Genomic DNA, 17,895 nt, shown 5'->3' with positions numbered 1-17,895 from the left:
TGGCTCATGCAGCCTTGCTCTCCCAGGCTGAAGTGATCCTTCTTCCTCAGCCTCCCATGTAGTTGGGTCTACAGGCACAGATACAATTATTTCTTAATTTTTTTGTAGAGACAGGGTCTCACTATGTTGCCCAGGCTGGTCTCAAATTTCTTGGCTTAAGTGATCCTCCTGCCTCGGCCTCCCAAAGTATTGGGATTACAGATCTGAGCTACCACACCCAGCCAGTATCACTATTCAGAAAAAGGAAAGCTCAATTTGATCTGGATGCTTGGAAACCATGGGAAACATATTAAAAATAATGATGATTATTCAACAGTTTGCTTAGCTCTGGATTACCCATGCTGCATTTTCACTTCTCCCTTACCTCTTTTTTGTGCTCTAATTTTTACCTATTCCACTGTTTATAAATACTTTTTCCACAGAACAAAATAAGGAAATTTTTTAAGCTCAAAAGGTATCTATAAAAGTTTAAAGTGGAAAGAATCTCAAAATCTTGGTTATGGTGATGTGCGTGCATGTGTGTGTGTGGGTATGCATGTATATATATATATATATATATATATATATATATATATCCCAATTATTTTCTTTCTCCATCAAAATAGATAACTGAGAATTAACAGGTATTAACATTAGGTGTTCCCTAGTATATCTGGAATAACTGTGATTATCAAAGGTTTTATAAATGCAATTTTATCTTTTAGATTGGCTAGTATGGTGTCTGACTCCTAATAGGCACCTAACAAACATTTATCATTTCACTGACAGAATGAATGAAATTAAAGAATCTCTAAGGCATATATTTTTGGTAAATGATAAAGAAAATCCTCATGAGTTTGTATTTTAATTTAAAGAGCAGATTTTCCTAATGCCGTGCACGTCGACATATCCTAGGAAGAAGGTTGTAGTTGACCCATTATCCTTACTTGGAAGCTCTACAGGATTAAAGGTCTGGATTCCTTCATAGTTGATGACCACCTCTTCCCTGGTGCAGTACCTGGCAGAGAGTAGATTCAATAAATATTTGTTGGATGGAAAAATGAACCATCTGACAGATTGAGGCAAAAATAATTCTTAGTGCTATATAGCAACTTGGCTCAAGGGCAGATTTCAGACAAAACTAATAGTAACAGCAGAGAATTTTTTCAGGAAAAACTTGATCGTGTAGTGGTCAGACCATGTTTTATGGAGCTAGGCAGACCTAGGACCTATTCCCATCCCTGCCACTTACTAGCTAGCTTTGCAACCTAAGAAAAGTTGTTTAACCTCTCCAAGTCTCAATTTCCCAGTCATTAAATCCAGAGCAGTAATATTATTTCATATGTTTGTTGTGAGGATTAAAGAAAATATTCAACATCAAGAGCTTATCTCGTGACCAACTACAGAAGTACTCAACAAATGGTAAATATTATTGTTATGCAGAGATTTCAGGAGTTGAGGCAGAGGCCATTTGGATCTATAGAGAATCTTAACAAAAGTGAGGAAACCTAAAACAGATGTGCCTATCTGCTTCCTATATTTCTCTTTTCTTGCTTTAGGAATTTTGAATGACATTTGTTTGGCATATGGATATGTGGAAATGGTGAGATGAGAAGAAGGCTAGAAATCCTTTCCACTTTTAGAGAAATGCCCTCTACCAAGGATGTATGCTCCAGAGCAACATAGGCCCACCCTATCTGCTGAGGATGAAAACAGCAAGAGACAATGGGATATGACACAGTAATGAGTTCTCATTTGTCAGGTGTCAGCTTGCTGATATGGTCTAAGGATAAGGTGTTCAACAATTCTTAGAAATTGGTAATAACAATACCACTTACACAGCAGTGCCTCTTACAGTTTTTATAATACTTCTACATGGACTATCTGTTTTAATTTTCACCACAATGTTGTGAGGAGCCTGAAGTAAATATTATCATTTCCATTTTATAGATGAGTAAACACATTCTGAGAAGTGAAATGACCATGCCCAAGGTCTCTTAGCTACTCAGTAATTGACCTGGGGCTCAAACCCGGGTTGTCACTCTGGATTCATTTTTTTTTTCCAAAGCAGCTGTTTGTTCTATGGAATCTGCCTATTTTCATTAGTGAGTGTGTGTGTGTACATGCTAGACCCTCAAAAATTTGTGATTTATAAGGTAATTTTGTACTCAACTACAGTTGCTAAAAGAAGAGGGCTGTTTTTTATCGTTGTTGTTTTGTTTGTTTTGTTTTGTTGTTGTTGTTTTAAATTTTATGTCTCTTTTTGGCCCAACAGGGAGCAAAGTTTGTCATCTTGATACACTAGATCTTTGATGATATCAATAAGGAAACATCCACACCCTTTGGTTAAAAGACTCTGAGACTTCAAGGACTGCTGGCTGTTCAGAAGAGGCTGTGGTGGTTCAAGTGAGGCTCAAGGCTGTAGTTATACCAATCTGTTACTCCATGAAGAGTCCAAGGCTGCTGAACAGAGTGAACCTCAGAACAGATAGCAGTGGCACCTAGAAGATATAATCTCAACAGCAGATGAGTTATTGAGGGATGATTGCTGATTATGGATTCCTCTTCATCTCTCTTAACTTATATTCCAAGCTGTTAACCTAGAATAAATCCTACTATATCTAATTAATGCATTAATCAAACTTTGTTTTGAATGGAAGGGGGGAGAATATGTTGATTACCCCGGCTAGTGGGATACAAAATATACCTAAAGCAGAATATCTTTCTCCATCATGAATAACATTAATCTCTGCAGTTCTTACAAGTGAATAATTATTATATAGTTTGTTTCCTATTTGTCTGGCTTGGTATTTATCCTTTATGAGTTTCCAGGTGACAATTTGTTTCAGGAAGAATTCTCCAGAAACAATTTTTTAAGATTATCGTCAAATTCCTTAATAAAGAGTTGAAAGCCAAACTCACTAGGTGAAATGCAACAACAACCAATGGGCAACAGACTGATCTCCAACTTCCTGAATTCTTTTTTTTTTTTTTTTTTTGAGACAGGGTCTCTCTCTGTCGATCAGGCTGGAGTGCAGTGGCTCAATCTTGGCTCACTGCAGCCTCCACCTCCCAGGCCCAAGCAATCCCGAGTAGTAGGGACTCAGGCACGCACCACGACACCTGGCTAATTTTTTGTATTTTTGGTAGAGAGAGGGTTTCACCATGTTGCCCAGGCTGGTCTTGAGCTCCTGAGCTCAAAGTATTTGCTTGCCTCAGCCTCCCAAAGTGCTGGGGTTACAGGCGTGAGCCACCGTGCCAGGCCTTTAATTCTTAATTGCCGCCAGGATTGATTGGTAAGGCTGTAGAAGAGTTGCTGTCCATTCCAAGTCTTCCCATCTGAAGCAACCACCATGCCACAGCCTTATTCTGTCCCATGGCTGTTTTGTGCATCTCCAAGTGTACCAGTGTGAGGCCCTCAAACACACCCATGCCCTCTGATGAAATAATGTTGGTCGTGATAACCACAGGGATGTCACAGCCGCCGTTCCACACTCTAACTAATTCTTATTTTGTTCCAACAACAACAATTTGAAATGGGAAGAACCACCCCATTTTAGACATTTCAAAACGAGGGCTTGGATAGATTATGTACCTTGTCCAAGGTCACACAACCAAATGGCAAGGTACGGACTCAACCTAGTTCCATCTGCCTCCAGTCCAAAACCCAGAGCTCTCAACTGCCACCCTCATTGTCTCTACTAGATACGGGCTTCCCTGCGGTAACTGTTGAGGCTGGAAAACACAGGCCTGAGAGAACTTTTAAATATGAAATGATAACTCTTTGCCTACTGAGATTCTTATTTTTAAAAACCCAGAGGAAGATCATATTTATATATTTATTCAACATTCACGTATGATATTTAGATTTACAAAATGCTTTATAGTGTAACAGAATGGGCAGAAATTTTTACTCGGGCTTATAATTGTCTTTTCTTTCATATTCATTTATTCCTTTGATTTATATAATGTGTTCTCTGCTTGGTCTTCTGAGATTACGTACAATGGTAACAAATCGAAAATAATATTAATAAAAGATTATTTTGTATCACTCACAGGGAAAACTGACTGGGGCCATGCGCCTCTCTGTTCTTTAGAAACGTTATGCGAGAGAACATAATATTGTCCCCAGAATACTGTCTGTAATGCCGGCTATGCTTATTCGTGGTGCTTTAAAAATAAATTTAACTCCTGTTCTTCATTTTGTGTGTGTGTGTGTGTTATTTACTTCCTTCTCTTCAGGTGGCTGGGGTGCTTCACAGCTATAATGAACTGCTGTGAGCATCACCTGAAGTCGCCAAACTACTTTCTTCACTGATCATTGAGCATGAGTTCTCTGCGGAATGCTGGGTCCCTTTACCTGCGAACCTTTTCCCCAGTTGGTCACCAGGCTGGTTCCTGCTTTTCATCTAGTCCTGAAATCAACAGGCACTGTCTCTGCAAAGCCTGCCCTGACCCCAGATTCAAAAGAACCCCACATTGCAATGTATCCTAGCATTTTCTTATTTCTTCCTTAGCATGCAATATTCTATGTTAAGAATGCTAGAGTCCAGGCTGGGTGCAGTGGCTCATGCCTGTAATCCCAGTACTTTGGGAGGCCAGGGTGGGTGGATCACCTGAGGTCAGGAGTTCAAGACCAGCCTGGCCAACATGGTGAAACCCCATCTCTACTAAAAATACAAAAGTTAGCTGGGCTTGGTGGTGCATGCCTGTAGTCCCAGGTACTCAGGAGGCGGAGGCAGGGGAATCACTTGAACCCGGGAGATAGAGGCTGCAGTGAGCCGAGATCACGCCACTGCACTCCAGCCCAGCAAGGCTCTGTCTCAAAAAAAGAATGCTAGAGTCCTTGGGTTTGGTGCGAATGAATAAATACAGATAGGTAAGCTAATATTTTGTCATTTTTAAGTTGCTATATTCTTCTTTAAAATGAACATTTTAGGCCAGGTGTGGTGGCTCATACCTATAATCCTAGCACTTTGGGAGGCCGAGGTGGGTGGATCACTTGAGGTCAAGAGTTCGATACCAGCCTGGCCGACATGGCAAAACCCCATCTCTACTAAAAATACAAAAATAAGCCTAGCTTGGTGGTGTATACCTGTAATCCCAGCTACTCAGGAGTCTGAGGCACAAGAATCCCTTGAACCTCAGAGGCAGAGGTTTCAGTAAGCTGAGATTGCACCACTGCACTCCAGCCTGGATGACAGAGCAAGACTCTGTCTCAAAAATAAATAAATTAAAAAAAATAAAATGAATATTTTTAAGAATCTCTTTAAGGTAAATTGCTCTGAAGTTTTACAATGTACTCCCTGTCTTTGCAAGGCATCAGCTCTTGACTGTGGGGGACATGTAAAACATGGCTAGAGGGCTGGGCGCGGTGGCGCAGGCCTGTAATCCTAGCATTTTGAGAGGCTGTAGGAGGGAGGATAGCTTGAGCCCAGGAGTTCAAGACAAGCCTAGGCAATACAAGGAGACCCTACAAATAATAAACAAAAAATAGCCAAGTGTGGTGTCACATGCCTGTAGTTTCAAGATTCTGGAGGCTGAGGTGGGAGGATCACTTTAGCCTGGGAGGTCGAGGCTGCAGTGAGTTGTGATGGCACCACTGCACCCCAGCCTGGGCAACACAGCAAGACCTTGTCTTAAAAAAAGGACATACAGCAAGTGTCGTGGCAAGGGCTTCTGTTGGTCAATTTATAGATTTTCAATGACTGTGCGCGTTAATCCGCAGATTAAAACAGTTATTTTCATCATTAATTTTTTTTCTTTAGAAATGGCAATTAGGGTGCCTAATTAAACTGTGGTTTAGAAAGATCAGTGTTGAGGCCTGTACCAGGAGGAAGGCTTGGGGTCCAGCCAACTGGTTAAGTGCTTTTCAATACAGGCAGCATATTGTTAATAATAATAATATAGGGTGGAGCAATGTCATTGCAGTTTTTGCCATTAAAAGTAATGGCAAAACCACAATTACCTTTGTGGCAACCTAATACATTCTACTAACCAGGGCCAATTGAGTCAGAATCTTGTTGGGGGAGGGGTGCATGCTTTCCGTGGCCCTCCAAGTTAGAGGACCTGACTCTCATCCAGCTCTGAACTTAGAAAAAGCTCAGGATCCCCCTTCCCACTGTCGGTGGTTTTTGGAATGAGACTTCCTATTTCAATATGGTGTCTGATGAGCCTGGCAGTGCCAGCAGGGCACCGTCTTCTCAGGCCCCACAGGATTGCTGGTCTCCTGTCTAGATTTTCTGTTTGTTTTTTGGATGCCCTCCTGGACCCTCGGACCAAATCTCAGCCTGCTTGTTCAGTGCCTGGCCACTCTGACTTAGCTACTGTAACCTCTTCTTTGCAGAATCAAGACCTTGTTCCTCATATCCAGAACCACCAGCTGGGGTCCCGCTTCCATCAGATTGAACCACACAGGATCACAGTGGAGTCTCCTTCTTGAGTCTTCCCACCCTGGAAACTCCTACTGCTGTCAAACCCCCTGACAGGTCAATCTCCTTGAACATGGGCCCTTCCATAAAGCTTTTAGCCACTTTTCTTATTCATAGAGAAATAAACTCCACCTCTTTAGCAAGAGGTCATGCAAAATGCATGTCAAGGGTCCTGAATACAAGGGAGGGGTGAAAAATAAGGGCCAATAAAGCAATCAGTCAACCACTGGCAAATAAGGGAGATACTGATTATTTCTGGGAAAGAAGCAAAAATTGTAGCAACATCAGCTACATAGGGAGTCTAATTTGATCTGAGGTGACAGTAAGGTGCATCTGGTGACAAAATAACAATCATGTTGCCATGAAGCATCTGCAAGTTTGACAACTTAGATGTGACTTGAGAAGAGTATAGGAATTATTTAGAAAGGTTAATAATCAAAACTTCAGAAAGCCACTCACAAGCCTGAACCAGGGGAGAGAATGGGCCTGGATTAGATCCTGGCTGAGATTGGTGGGTCACATGCAAAGCAGCATCCTCCCAGGAAGGGAAGCCGGGGAGTCAGGGTTACAGCACCTGCAGTTGGGGTTACTGGAAGCCTCCCTGGACTTGGGTGTACTGGTGCATTCTAGTCATCATTTTGCTACTCCACAGGAGCCTCAATTCTCTGAGTCGCCTCTTCTCTAGGGACCTGGGTGGATTGACATCTCTGACCCTTTGAAATGTAAGCAGAAGTGTCATATAGCACTTCCTCATGGAAGCAATGAAAAGCCACTGCTCTATTTTGATGCTCTTTTCTTCCCACAGTCCAGTGTAAACCTCATGTTGAGATGGTGGCATCAAAAGAGGGCAGAACCTTGGGTCCCTGAGTGACTAAAGTGAGCACAGGTACCTGCTAACTCGCAATGGACATGTAGCATGAAAGAGACGTAAACCTTTATTGTATTAAGCCACTGAGCATTGGAGGTTGTTTCTATGGCAGCAGAGCCTAGCCTACTCTGACTACTTTGAGGACTTTGTCCATGAATGTGTTCCTGTTCACTCTAGAATTTTAACTGACAGCCCGGTAGAGAGAAGCATTGTGATGATAATGATGACGATGATGATATCACTGAGTGCTGGAAAAGGTTTCTGCCACTACCTTCCTAGACTCATCTAAGTGGATGGACTCCAGGGGATGGAGAATGGAAGGCAGCAGATGTTTGTTGACTTCTTGCTCTATATCGGGCACTGTGCTAGATACCATACACGCCATCAACATTTAGGACAGTATGGTCAGAGCAATTTGATTTTTATATTACAGTTGAGGAAAAGAGCTCACAAGAGGTTAAATTACTTGCTTAAAACTCACAAATTTAGTATATGTCAGATCCAGGACTAGAACTCAAGCCCATCTAACTTCAGAGCCTATGCTATTTTCCTGTAACATAAACATACAAGTAATGAGCTTTTAATCTTTTATAACTTGTTAGCATTTTCCTCCTAACTGTAATCCTTTTAGGATAAATTTGAGTTAGATCAATCTACTCTTCATAGCTATTGTTCTTAGAATTATTTCGCTCTTTCGTTTCACCCAGATTTGTTTTTGCTGACCTTTGACACATGAGGTGCTACAAATCTGTGTGTTTGTTTAAACTTCAACCAAACACCCTCATGTTTGTTTTAAGTGGGAATATCATCACAGGATATCTGGAAATGCCTCCACCATGGCTACAAGTTTTTTAAAATGTGAGATTTTTCCTGTATGGTAAGGATGTTGCAGAGAACTAGAATGAGATGTAAGGCAACTGATGTTTTCTTTTTTCTGTTTGCTTTTTTTTTTTTTTTTTTTTTTTTTACAGACAAAGGAGAATGAAAGCTGTCTCTTGTAGATAGGATATTTTCAGCCGTCATCACCATGGACTCTTTGAAATGTACTACTTCAGAAAAGCCACAGTGACTCCCTCTGGGCCTCACCCACCTGAGATGACATCACGACGCAAATCTAGGACTTACGCTCTTCATACGGATGGAATGGTTGGTTCACTTGGCTTTCAGAGTGCAGACAAGCCATTCAGTGGAGGGCATGCCTCAGCCTGCACTCTTCTGACTCATGACATGACTTCTCCATGGAGAGCCAGGATTTTTCTCAAGTGTAACAATATTAATTATCAAGTCACTTTAAAACATGTGTGATGTATGTGTGCATTTATTTCACAGGAATGGTATAAAGATTAAATACTTAATGAATCCATTTTTCATATCAAGGATATATTTGCCCTATGCCTAAATATATCTCTCCCTTCTGTTTCTCATGAGAAATATAGCTATCTTTATTATGTAATCAGTAATATATCATTCCTTCTAAGCAGGATCTAATTTTAGCAACATGATGAATGGCCCAGGAATGTATTCCACTGCCCTCTGCAGAAAGGAATATATATCAGACCTGCTCAGGTGTGTGTCATTTCTTTATACTGGGAGCTTTCAGCAGCCCAAGTGGCAGCTGGGTTTTTCTGACTGAAAGCCGCAAGTTCTGTCTCTATTTGGGCTCGGGCAGACACCACTAGGAAACGGCCATGTGTGAACAATACCTAGATTTGCTAGCTCAGCCAATGAGGCTTATGGTTCTCCTATGCCCGGGTTTATTGCACCAGCTGGAAAATGACCAATTGTTTTTTATCTTCATTGACGTGCAAGATCTGTTTGTGTAGGATCACATTCAAGTCCCCCCTGCCTTCTTCCATTTCTAAAAATTTGATCTTTAAACAAAGATATTTCTTTAAAATGTGGGAGTCAGGCTGGGCGTTGTGGCTCGCACCTGTAATCCCAGCACTTTCGGAGGCTGAGGTGGGCAGATCACCCGAGGTCAGGAGTTCCAGACCAGCCTGGCCAACATGGTGAAACCCTGTCTCTACTAAAAATACAAAAATTAACTGGGTGTGGTGGTGCACAACAGTAATCCCAGCTACTTGGGAGGCTGAGTTAGGGGAATCGCTTGAACCCAGGAAGCAAAGGTTGCAGTGAGCAGAGATTGTACCACCGCACTCTAGCCTGGGTGACAGAGTAAGTGAGACTCCATCTAAAAAAAAAAAAATTAAATAAATAAATAAATAAATAAAATGTGGGAATCAGTCCAGTATGATTAGCACCATAAGGAATCAGGAATTTTGTCTTTCTTGAGCTTCCGAGGGAACAAAAACGTTCATTTTCTTTCACACTATCTGTGAGTTTTATAGCTGCTTCTGCACACTGATGGCACCTTATATCTCAATGACATCTTAATTTTTAAAGCTATTTTGCATTTGTTTTTTATTGATCTGTGGGAAAGTCAAGGCGGTACCTTATCTCCATTTTGCAGATGTGAAAATTGAGACCCAGAGAGATTAAATGACTTATTCAACTTCTAGGATATGGCCTGGTAAGGGCTAAAATCTAAATCTCCATACCATCATCATCCTACTGTCTATGCTTAATTCTTAATGAAATCTATGTAAGATGGAAAACAAAAGTTAGAGGTGTTTGTTTCTGCAGCTACCGTATATATATAATTCTGAAATTCTTTGTACAACTACTATATTTGTTGATTCTAAGATATACTTTTTTCATATTAGTATGTCTGAAACTGAGATACATCTTTTTTTTTTTTTTTTTTTTTTTTTTGAGATGGAGTTTCGCTCTTGTCACCCAGGCTGGAGTGCAGTGGCATGCTCTCAACTCACTGCAACCTCTGCCTCCTGGGTTTAAGCCATTCTCCTGCCTCAGCCTCCCAAGTAGCTGAAATTACAGGCACTTACCACCACACCCAGCTAATTTTTGTATTTTTAGTAGAGACCGGGTTTCACCATGTTGGCCTGGCTGGTCTCGAACTCCTGACCTCAAGTGATCCGCCTGCCTCAGCCTTCCAAAGTCCTGGGATTACATGCATAAGCCACTCCACCTGGCCTGAAACTGAGATACATCTTACAATCTATGGAGTATCATAATCTAACTGGAAGTTTTTTTCTTTCTTAGTGGTTGCAGTACATTGATTCTGAAGATGGCCCAGATCTTCACTCATATCCTGATGTCCTTTAGCGTGTCACTTTGCAGCTCCTCCCATGAAACGATCAAGTCTATTTCCCTACACCTTAAAAGTGGGTTGGACTTATCTTTATTTATTCCTGGAGAGGACACTCTTGGTGCCCCACCCATCCTCCCTCCTCCTTGCTACTTTAGCCTACCTGAATTCCAAATGTACCTGTGTTTCTTTGCCTGAGAACTCACTCTGATTGCCAAAGCCTGATTTGTCTGCTCTGATGGCTTAAAAATAGATTCACACATTTTTTAATACTCCTCCCTCCCCTTTTCTTGAACGTGGGCCAAACTTTATGACTTGACTCGCTTCTATCAAATAGAATGTGGTGGAAATGACAGTGTGACTTTCAAGACTAGGCCATAAAAGGCCCTGTGGTCTCATGGTCTCTCTTGGATCACTCATTTTGGGGTCAGCATATGCCTTGTTGTGGGGACACTCAAGCAGTCAAATGGAGAAGTTGATATGGTGAGGAACTGAGGCCTCCAACCAACAGCCAGCACTGACCAGCCAGCTGTGCAAGTGAACCACCCTAGAAGCAGGTCCTCCAGCCTCAGTCAAACCTTCAGATTACTAAATCCCTGCCCATTTCTTAAATGCAACCTCATGAGGAACCTCAAGCCAGAACTCACCAGCTAAGCTATTCCAAATTTCTTCACCCTTGCAAACTGTATGAAATAATAAATATTTATTGTCATATTAAGCCACTAAATTTTGGGATAGTATGTTACACATTGGTATATAACTAAACCCATCTACATGACAGGTTGGAAATGTTGGTGGGTTACCCACTGGAAGCACCTTCCACCAGTGACATACAGTAGTTAATATCAATATAATAGCTTCCTCACCCCTTGAGTAGGATAACTGAACACCCAGGGTTTCTCCAGGGTAATTATGTTCCAGTTTCTAGAATAGTAACTGGATTGATAACACCCTTTATTGGCCATTTTCCCTTCCCTGTCTAACTTTTTTTTTTTTTTTTTTGAGATGGAGTCTTGCTCTGTTGCCCAGGCTGGAGTGCAGTGGCGCAATCTCGGCTCACTGCAAGCTCCGCCTCGTGGGTTCACACCATTCTCCTGCCTCAGCCTCCCAAGTAGCTGGGTCTACAGGCGCCTGCCACCATGCCTGGCTAATTTTTTTTGTATTTTTAGTAGAGACAGGGTTTCACCGTGTTAGCCAGGGTGGTCTCAATCTCCTGACCTCAAGATCCGCCCCCCTCGGCCTCCCAAAGTGCTGGGATTGCAGGCGTGAGCCACCACACCCATCCCCATCTTCAATGTTAACAACTTACTCTCAAGTCCTTGTCTCAAAATCTCCTTTTGGGAAGTAGACAGCAAGAGGATGGGGAGGGGGAATGCAAACTAAGTAAGTTGTGTGTGATTAATTGCCAAGTCCTGTGTAGTTTTTCATTTAAAGTATTTTTTCCATAGCTGCAGTTCAACAGTGCTAATCTGAGCTGATTAAAACAAACCAACCAACCCTCCCACTTCACACATATATAAATTTTGGTAAAAATACCCTCTCCACCATTTTTAATACAGTCTCAAACTGAAAACCAAGAAAGGAAAAGCCTCAAGTGCCAGATGCAAAGAGGATGCCCAAAGTTAGAGTGATCAGAGGGAGGTAAAATACAAATACTTACATGTGAACCAGGATAGGAGTGAGACCTTAACAGCTGAAACTTTAGAGGCCCGGTGAACAGGATCCTATAGGCCTGAGCCCCAGAGAATCAGGAGGAGGGGCCAGGCTACCTGCATAAAGCCAGGATTTCTGAAGAGCTGACTAATGTCCTCTGAATTGGGAACTAAAGAAACCACCCACTAGCCTAGGGGAATAGCAGGGAAGCTTGTAGTTTTTCAGGGCCATGAGAGTAACAGGCATCACTCAAAAGAAATGAATTTGTGTCATGAGTAAGATCTGAGTTCTTGTTACTTATGTACCCGGACCCAAAACTAAGAAATTATTTTAAAATCTTGTCCAGAATCAGTAAATTCAAAGGCACCTCACAAAGATGCTGTAGAGCACATGAAACTGTCATGGGCCCCTCTTTCACTTTCATCTTCATAAGGATGAGTTTACAGAAAGGAAATAAGGAAAGAAGCCACATAAAGAAGCAAGACACAGTGAAGCAGAGCCAACAGATGAAACAAATGCGAGAATTTGCATCTCAAGAGCTGGGAGTAACAGAATAACAATCTAAAAAGGACTTTAAAATAAATAGACTTAAAGCATTTCAAAACATAAAAAAAGAACACCAATCATAAACTAAGAATAACATAAATTTAAAAACAACAGGCAGATTGGAGGAAAACATTCTAAAAATGAAAAAAAGAGTAATTGAAATAAAAACCTCAATAGACGAGTTGAACTGTAAAACAGATGTGGTCGATAAGCGAATAAGTAAATGGAAAGACAGATCTGAGGAAATTATCCAAAATACAGCAAAAGAGAGAAAGAAAGAGATGGAAAATACAAAAGTTAATCAAATGAGATAGTCTTACATATGTTGATTAAGAGTTGCAAAACAGAAAAAATGACAGGATAAGAAGCAAAGAGATAATAATCAATAATTTTCACTATCCAAGACATGTGTTCTCTCATATCTATATTCAACTATATTCCAGGGTGAAAATAAAATAAAGTCAATTTCAGACATCAAAAGGCTACTTTTTCAAATAGTATTTTATTTATTTATTTATTTATTTATTTTTGAGATAGACTCTCACTCTACTGCCCAGGCTGGAATGTAGTGGTGCAATCTTGGTTCACTGCAACCTCCGCCTCCCGAGTTCAAGTGATTCTCCTGCCTCAGCCTCCCGAGTAGCTGGGATTACAGGCATGCAATACTACCCCTGGCTAATTTTTGTATTTTTAGTAGAGACGGAGTTTCATCATGTTGGCCAGGCTGGTCTCAATCTCCTGACCTCAAGTGATCCACTCGCTTCGGCCTCCCAAAGTGCTGGGATTACAGGCATGAGACACTGCGCCTGGTCTTCAAGTAGTACTTTGGCATATATATACATATCTATATCAAGATTACTTTGGCAAGAAAAAAGATTACCATGAACAGAAGAGGGATGCAAGAAACCTTTAAAAGTGGATAAATGTGTTGGTAAATCTAAATAAACTCTCAACAGTATAATTAAAATGGCTTTTTGTGAGTGTTTAAAACTAAGGTAGAAGTAAATTTCTAAACAACAAAATCATGGAAGATTGGAGGGCAGATGAGAGTTAAAGTGTGTATTATTTAGAAGGAAGTAAGCAATATTAATTCTAGACTTTAATTTAGATGTGGGAATATTAATTTATGGGTAGTCATGGATTTAGGGGTAAAAGGATGGAAGTAGAATTCATAACTTGCATACCTGTGGGGGAAAATATTAAAATGTGAACAGGAATATTACCCACCAAATCATGATGGTAATTTCCTCTTAGGAGAGAGGAGAGGTGACTGTGACCAGGAATGGATGAGGAGGCAAAGTAAACTTCAACTTTATTTGAAAAATTTAAAATGTTTAAAACATTATAGGAAAAGAGAAATATCATATGCCTTGTATCCCCTTTCTCTCTGCCTAGGGGACAAGGCAGGGGACATGGCCAAGCCTTCCACCGGTATTCAAGTTTCTTTGTAACCTGGCTCTATGTTTTCCAGCCAGCTTAGTTCCCTCCCTTCCTCCCAACACACAGTTTTCGCCCTCGTCAAGCCAGTCTCCTCATTTTTCATACGCCCTCTGCTTATTTTAGGATGCACACCTTTGTTGTCTAAATTCTCTTCGTTTTTCAAGCCCTTCTTTCTATTCCCTGACATTGACAACAGCAAGTAGAGTTGTGTGTAGCACACAATGCATCGTACTATTCTGTTTAACTCTCTTACAAACTACCTTATATTTTACATTTCATCTTAAAGTATTTACTTTTATTCGGTATCATTTCTTTGAAAGATTATAGACTCTAAGAAATCAAGAACTGTGGCGTTGATTATATCCTGCCCAGGAATCACTCCTGGCATGTTTCACAGATAAGTACATAGTCAGTGCTCAGAGTATACTTGTTAAATTGAAAGCCATCCCACTAGGGGAAAGGCAATGAAGAAAAGAACATGAACAAAGGAAATTTTGACCATCCTTCCATGGATAAATTTCACAAACACAACAATAACATGAGTCACTTATTTCAAGGTTATTTATCAACCTCAGTGGTCTAGAACATATTTGAGATTCAGAAAACATTGGTTAAGAACATGTGCTTTGGTGTCAGACAGACCCAGTTTGAGTATCAGTTTACCCATGTTATTACTCTGTGTATGACTATGGACAAGTGCCTTAACTTGTTTGCATGTTAATTTTCTCATATATAAAAACAGGGAAAGTACCTGTGCCTGAAAAGCACCTAGTGCAGTAGATGGCATGGAATAAAAGCACTCAGTAAATATAAACTGGGATTATTATTAGCTAAAATATATAAACCAGAGCCATATGTGAGATTACCCAGTTCTCCCCAACCCCCATTGCCAGCCCATGATAGAATTGTACCTATCTGCCCTCTAGAAGTGTGGTCATGTCATTTGTGGTAGCCAATGAAATGTCAGCATGAAGACATATGTGATTTCCTGCAGAAGTTTTAAGACCTCCTAGGCAATTTACCAAGTTCCCTTCCCCTGCTGTGGGGACTGTGGAAGCATGGATTGAGATGGAGGCTCTGTCAGCCTGTGTACCTGAGCAACCATGCTAAATAGAGCCCTTCCGCAACCCAAGTGGACACACAAAATAAATGAGACATAAACTTTTACTCTGTGAAGCCACCTGAGACTTTGGAGGTTTTTTTCTTGCAGCAAAACCTGGCCCATCTTGACAAATACCATGTACTAAAAGTCATACTTCCCCTCCTCTCAGGAAAAAAAAATTACCCAAAGCCATGCCTTAGAACACACTTACTCTTACTGAAAAATGCTTCTAGCCAACTGGCGTATGTGGTTTCTCATCTCACAGGATGTTAGAAAGAAAATACTAGAGGAGCTATGGCCAGAGGTAGACACTGAACCCAGGGAGAAGGGAGATCCGTGGATTGTAAAAACAAAAGTTAGGTGGGAGCGGTGGCTCACGCTTGTAATTCCAGCACTTTGAGAGGCTGAGGCAGGTGGATCACCTGAAGTCAGGAGTCCGAGACCAGCCTGGCTAACGTGGTGAAACCCCATCTGTACTAAAAAATACAAAAATTAGCTGGGTGTGGTGGCAGGCACCTGTAATCCCAGCTACTTGGGAGGCTGAGTCAGGAGAATTGCTTGAACCTGGGGGGCAGAGAGTGCAGTGAGCCAAGATCACGCCATTGTACTCCAGCCTGGGCAACAAGAGCGAAATTCTATCTCCAAAAAAAAAAAAAAAAAAAAGTTAAAACAAAAACTTGAAAAAAAGGTAAGAAACTCAAATGGCATTTTGAGCTGAGAACATTTAGAATAGGTGAAGTTAACCGTGCCTATTAAAAAGTCTGAAGGCATCTTTAGATCATAGCAGTGCTCATCAGTTTATTATTTATAACATGTTGGTTTTGCTTATTAATTTTATTTATTTCATTACACATTTATTTTCTACTACACTCTTTCTCTCTTTCTTTTAAGGGATAGAGTCTCACTCTGTCACCCAGGCTGGAGTGCAGTGGTAAAATCACAGCTCACTGCAGTCTCAACTTCCTGGGTTCAAACGATCCTCTCACTTTAGTCTTCTGAGTAGCTGGGAGTATGGGCATGCACCACCACGCCTGGCTGATTTTTTAATTTTTTTGTACAAATGAAGTCTCACTATGTTGCTTAGGCCGGTCTCAAACTTCTGGGCTCAAATGATTCTCCCACCTCGGCCTCCCAAAATACTGAGATTATAGACGTGAGCCACCATGCCTGGCCTGGCCTTACCCTCTTTTTTTTTAAATGGTTAATATTTCCCCAGTATCACATTAAACACTTGCAATATGTAGCAGGTCACTCAGCCTCCCAGCATGTCTCAGAGTTTCATCCATCTCTATGGATGGGAACACGGCAGCACCCAGAGATTTGAAACTGCTCAAGGTCTCATGACCAACATGGCAGTGTCAGAGTTTCATATGAACCCATCTGTCTGATTCTAGAGTTCTTTCACCATCACACCTCCACATGCATTCTTAGAAAGCCAGAGGATGCTAAATTACGCTTCACGAAAATCTGTTTTAAAAGGCTGGGAAACATGTGTGACATTTTGAAAATTTTTTCTATCAAAAAAAAAAAAAGATTCCATTTTAACAAGTGCTGGTGCTTCAAAGGGTATAAAGTGTGGGTTATCAGAAAAAGCCACATGTGGGAAGCAGCTCGCTCTCAACCGTTGCCAGATAAATGAGAAGGTCTTGAATTTCAATGATCTTATAAATGTAACGGGAGTGATAAATATAAATCTATTAAGCTCTTTCATTTAGAACAAGGAATCTGTATTCTTTGACTATATAACTTCTTTTTACTGCATCTTTCAAACGGAAAAATGTGCTTGCCATTGATGGGCAACTTCCTTGGATCTTTACTGTGTGGGGAGAAAGTATCAAAGCAGGGAGCGGGGAGGGTTTGAGGGGAGGTAAAGCGCTCTGCCCTGTCCAGATGATTGCTAGAGGGGCCCCAGGTTGCCGTCTCATCTCTGTCATTTCCTTATGAGAAGGGTGGCTGCTGTCATCCAGGAGTCTTTGCCATGAATGAAAAAGCAGACAGCAGTGAAATTTGGAAATCCAGAGACATTTCCTTCTTTGCGAGGCACTGGTAGAGAGGATTTCTAGGACAACAGAATGTTACCCTGCACTGCCAAAACAGCATCTCGGGGGCTCAACTAACCAGCTCTGGAAACCTGCATGTTCCCTGCGTACCACACACGAGGTTTCATTTCCACTGCAAATCTGATTTTTGTTTTTATTTTTGTATGACCACTCAACAGGTCAATGAATATATCTGTTGGAGAGCTGTGGCACGATGGTTTAAATGTTGCAATGGCAATTTCAATTCTCTAGAGAGACTGTTAAGGAAATGGGTCCCTTCCCCTGAGCTGCGGTTCTTCTAATGACTGCGGGTGCGGGTATTAACATACCTTCCCAGGGATTTGCCAGGGGTGGGAGGGCCACTGCCGATGCTGACTATCAGGCTACTTCTGACAATTCCTAATGTAATCCATATACTACACATACATTCTGGTTACACGATTTATGAGGTATAACAAGGGGAGAGAAGTGAAGCTGGAATATAATTGTGACTGATGTGAAACAGACATGTAGAATGAATGGCCTTACAACATTTTCTTTGAAGTTTGTTAAAAGCAGTAAAGTGATATTCACTATAAGTGAAACCTGCTGTTACAGATATCCACTGGCTTGGAGAACATTTTCTTTTGACTTTATTTTTTAAATTTTAATTTGCCACTTGGAGTTTT

At 41.1% G+C, this 17,895-nt stretch overlaps 3 long non-coding RNA genes across 3 annotated transcripts in view; 2 read left to right on the top strand and 1 right to left on the bottom strand.

Annotated features, from left to right (window-relative positions):
- Positions 1-4,180, top strand: part of LOC105371275 (uncharacterized) — a 42,139-nt gene extending 37,959 nt beyond the window's left edge. The window contains exon 3 of the long non-coding RNA XR_933597.4: positions 2,255-4,180. This is a non-coding gene — a long non-coding RNA (uncharacterized LOC105371275). The remainder of the gene's footprint in view (positions 1-2,254) is intronic.
- On the bottom strand, positions 829-2,480 carry LOC105371276 (uncharacterized). Its single transcript, XR_007065073.1, has 2 exons — positions 2,319-2,480; positions 829-997 (listed from the first exon to the last, which is right to left on the bottom strand). It is a non-coding gene; the product is annotated as an uncharacterized LOC105371276 (long non-coding RNA).
- A 3,409-nt stretch (positions 4,181-7,589) lies between the features above and the next one.
- LOC101927480 (uncharacterized) lies at positions 7,590-8,574 on the top strand. Its single transcript, NR_134971.1, has 2 exons — positions 7,590-7,682; positions 8,250-8,574. It is a non-coding gene; the product is annotated as an uncharacterized LOC101927480 (long non-coding RNA).
- The last annotated feature ends 9,321 nt before the right edge of the window (positions 8,575-17,895 follow it).

Source organism: Homo sapiens, chromosome 16 (genome assembly GCF_000001405.40).
Source record: "Homo sapiens chromosome 16, GRCh38.p14 Primary Assembly".
Taxonomy (NCBI): domain Eukaryota; kingdom Metazoa; phylum Chordata; class Mammalia; order Primates; family Hominidae; genus Homo; species Homo sapiens.
This window is presented reverse-complemented; position numbering and strand designations above follow the sequence as displayed.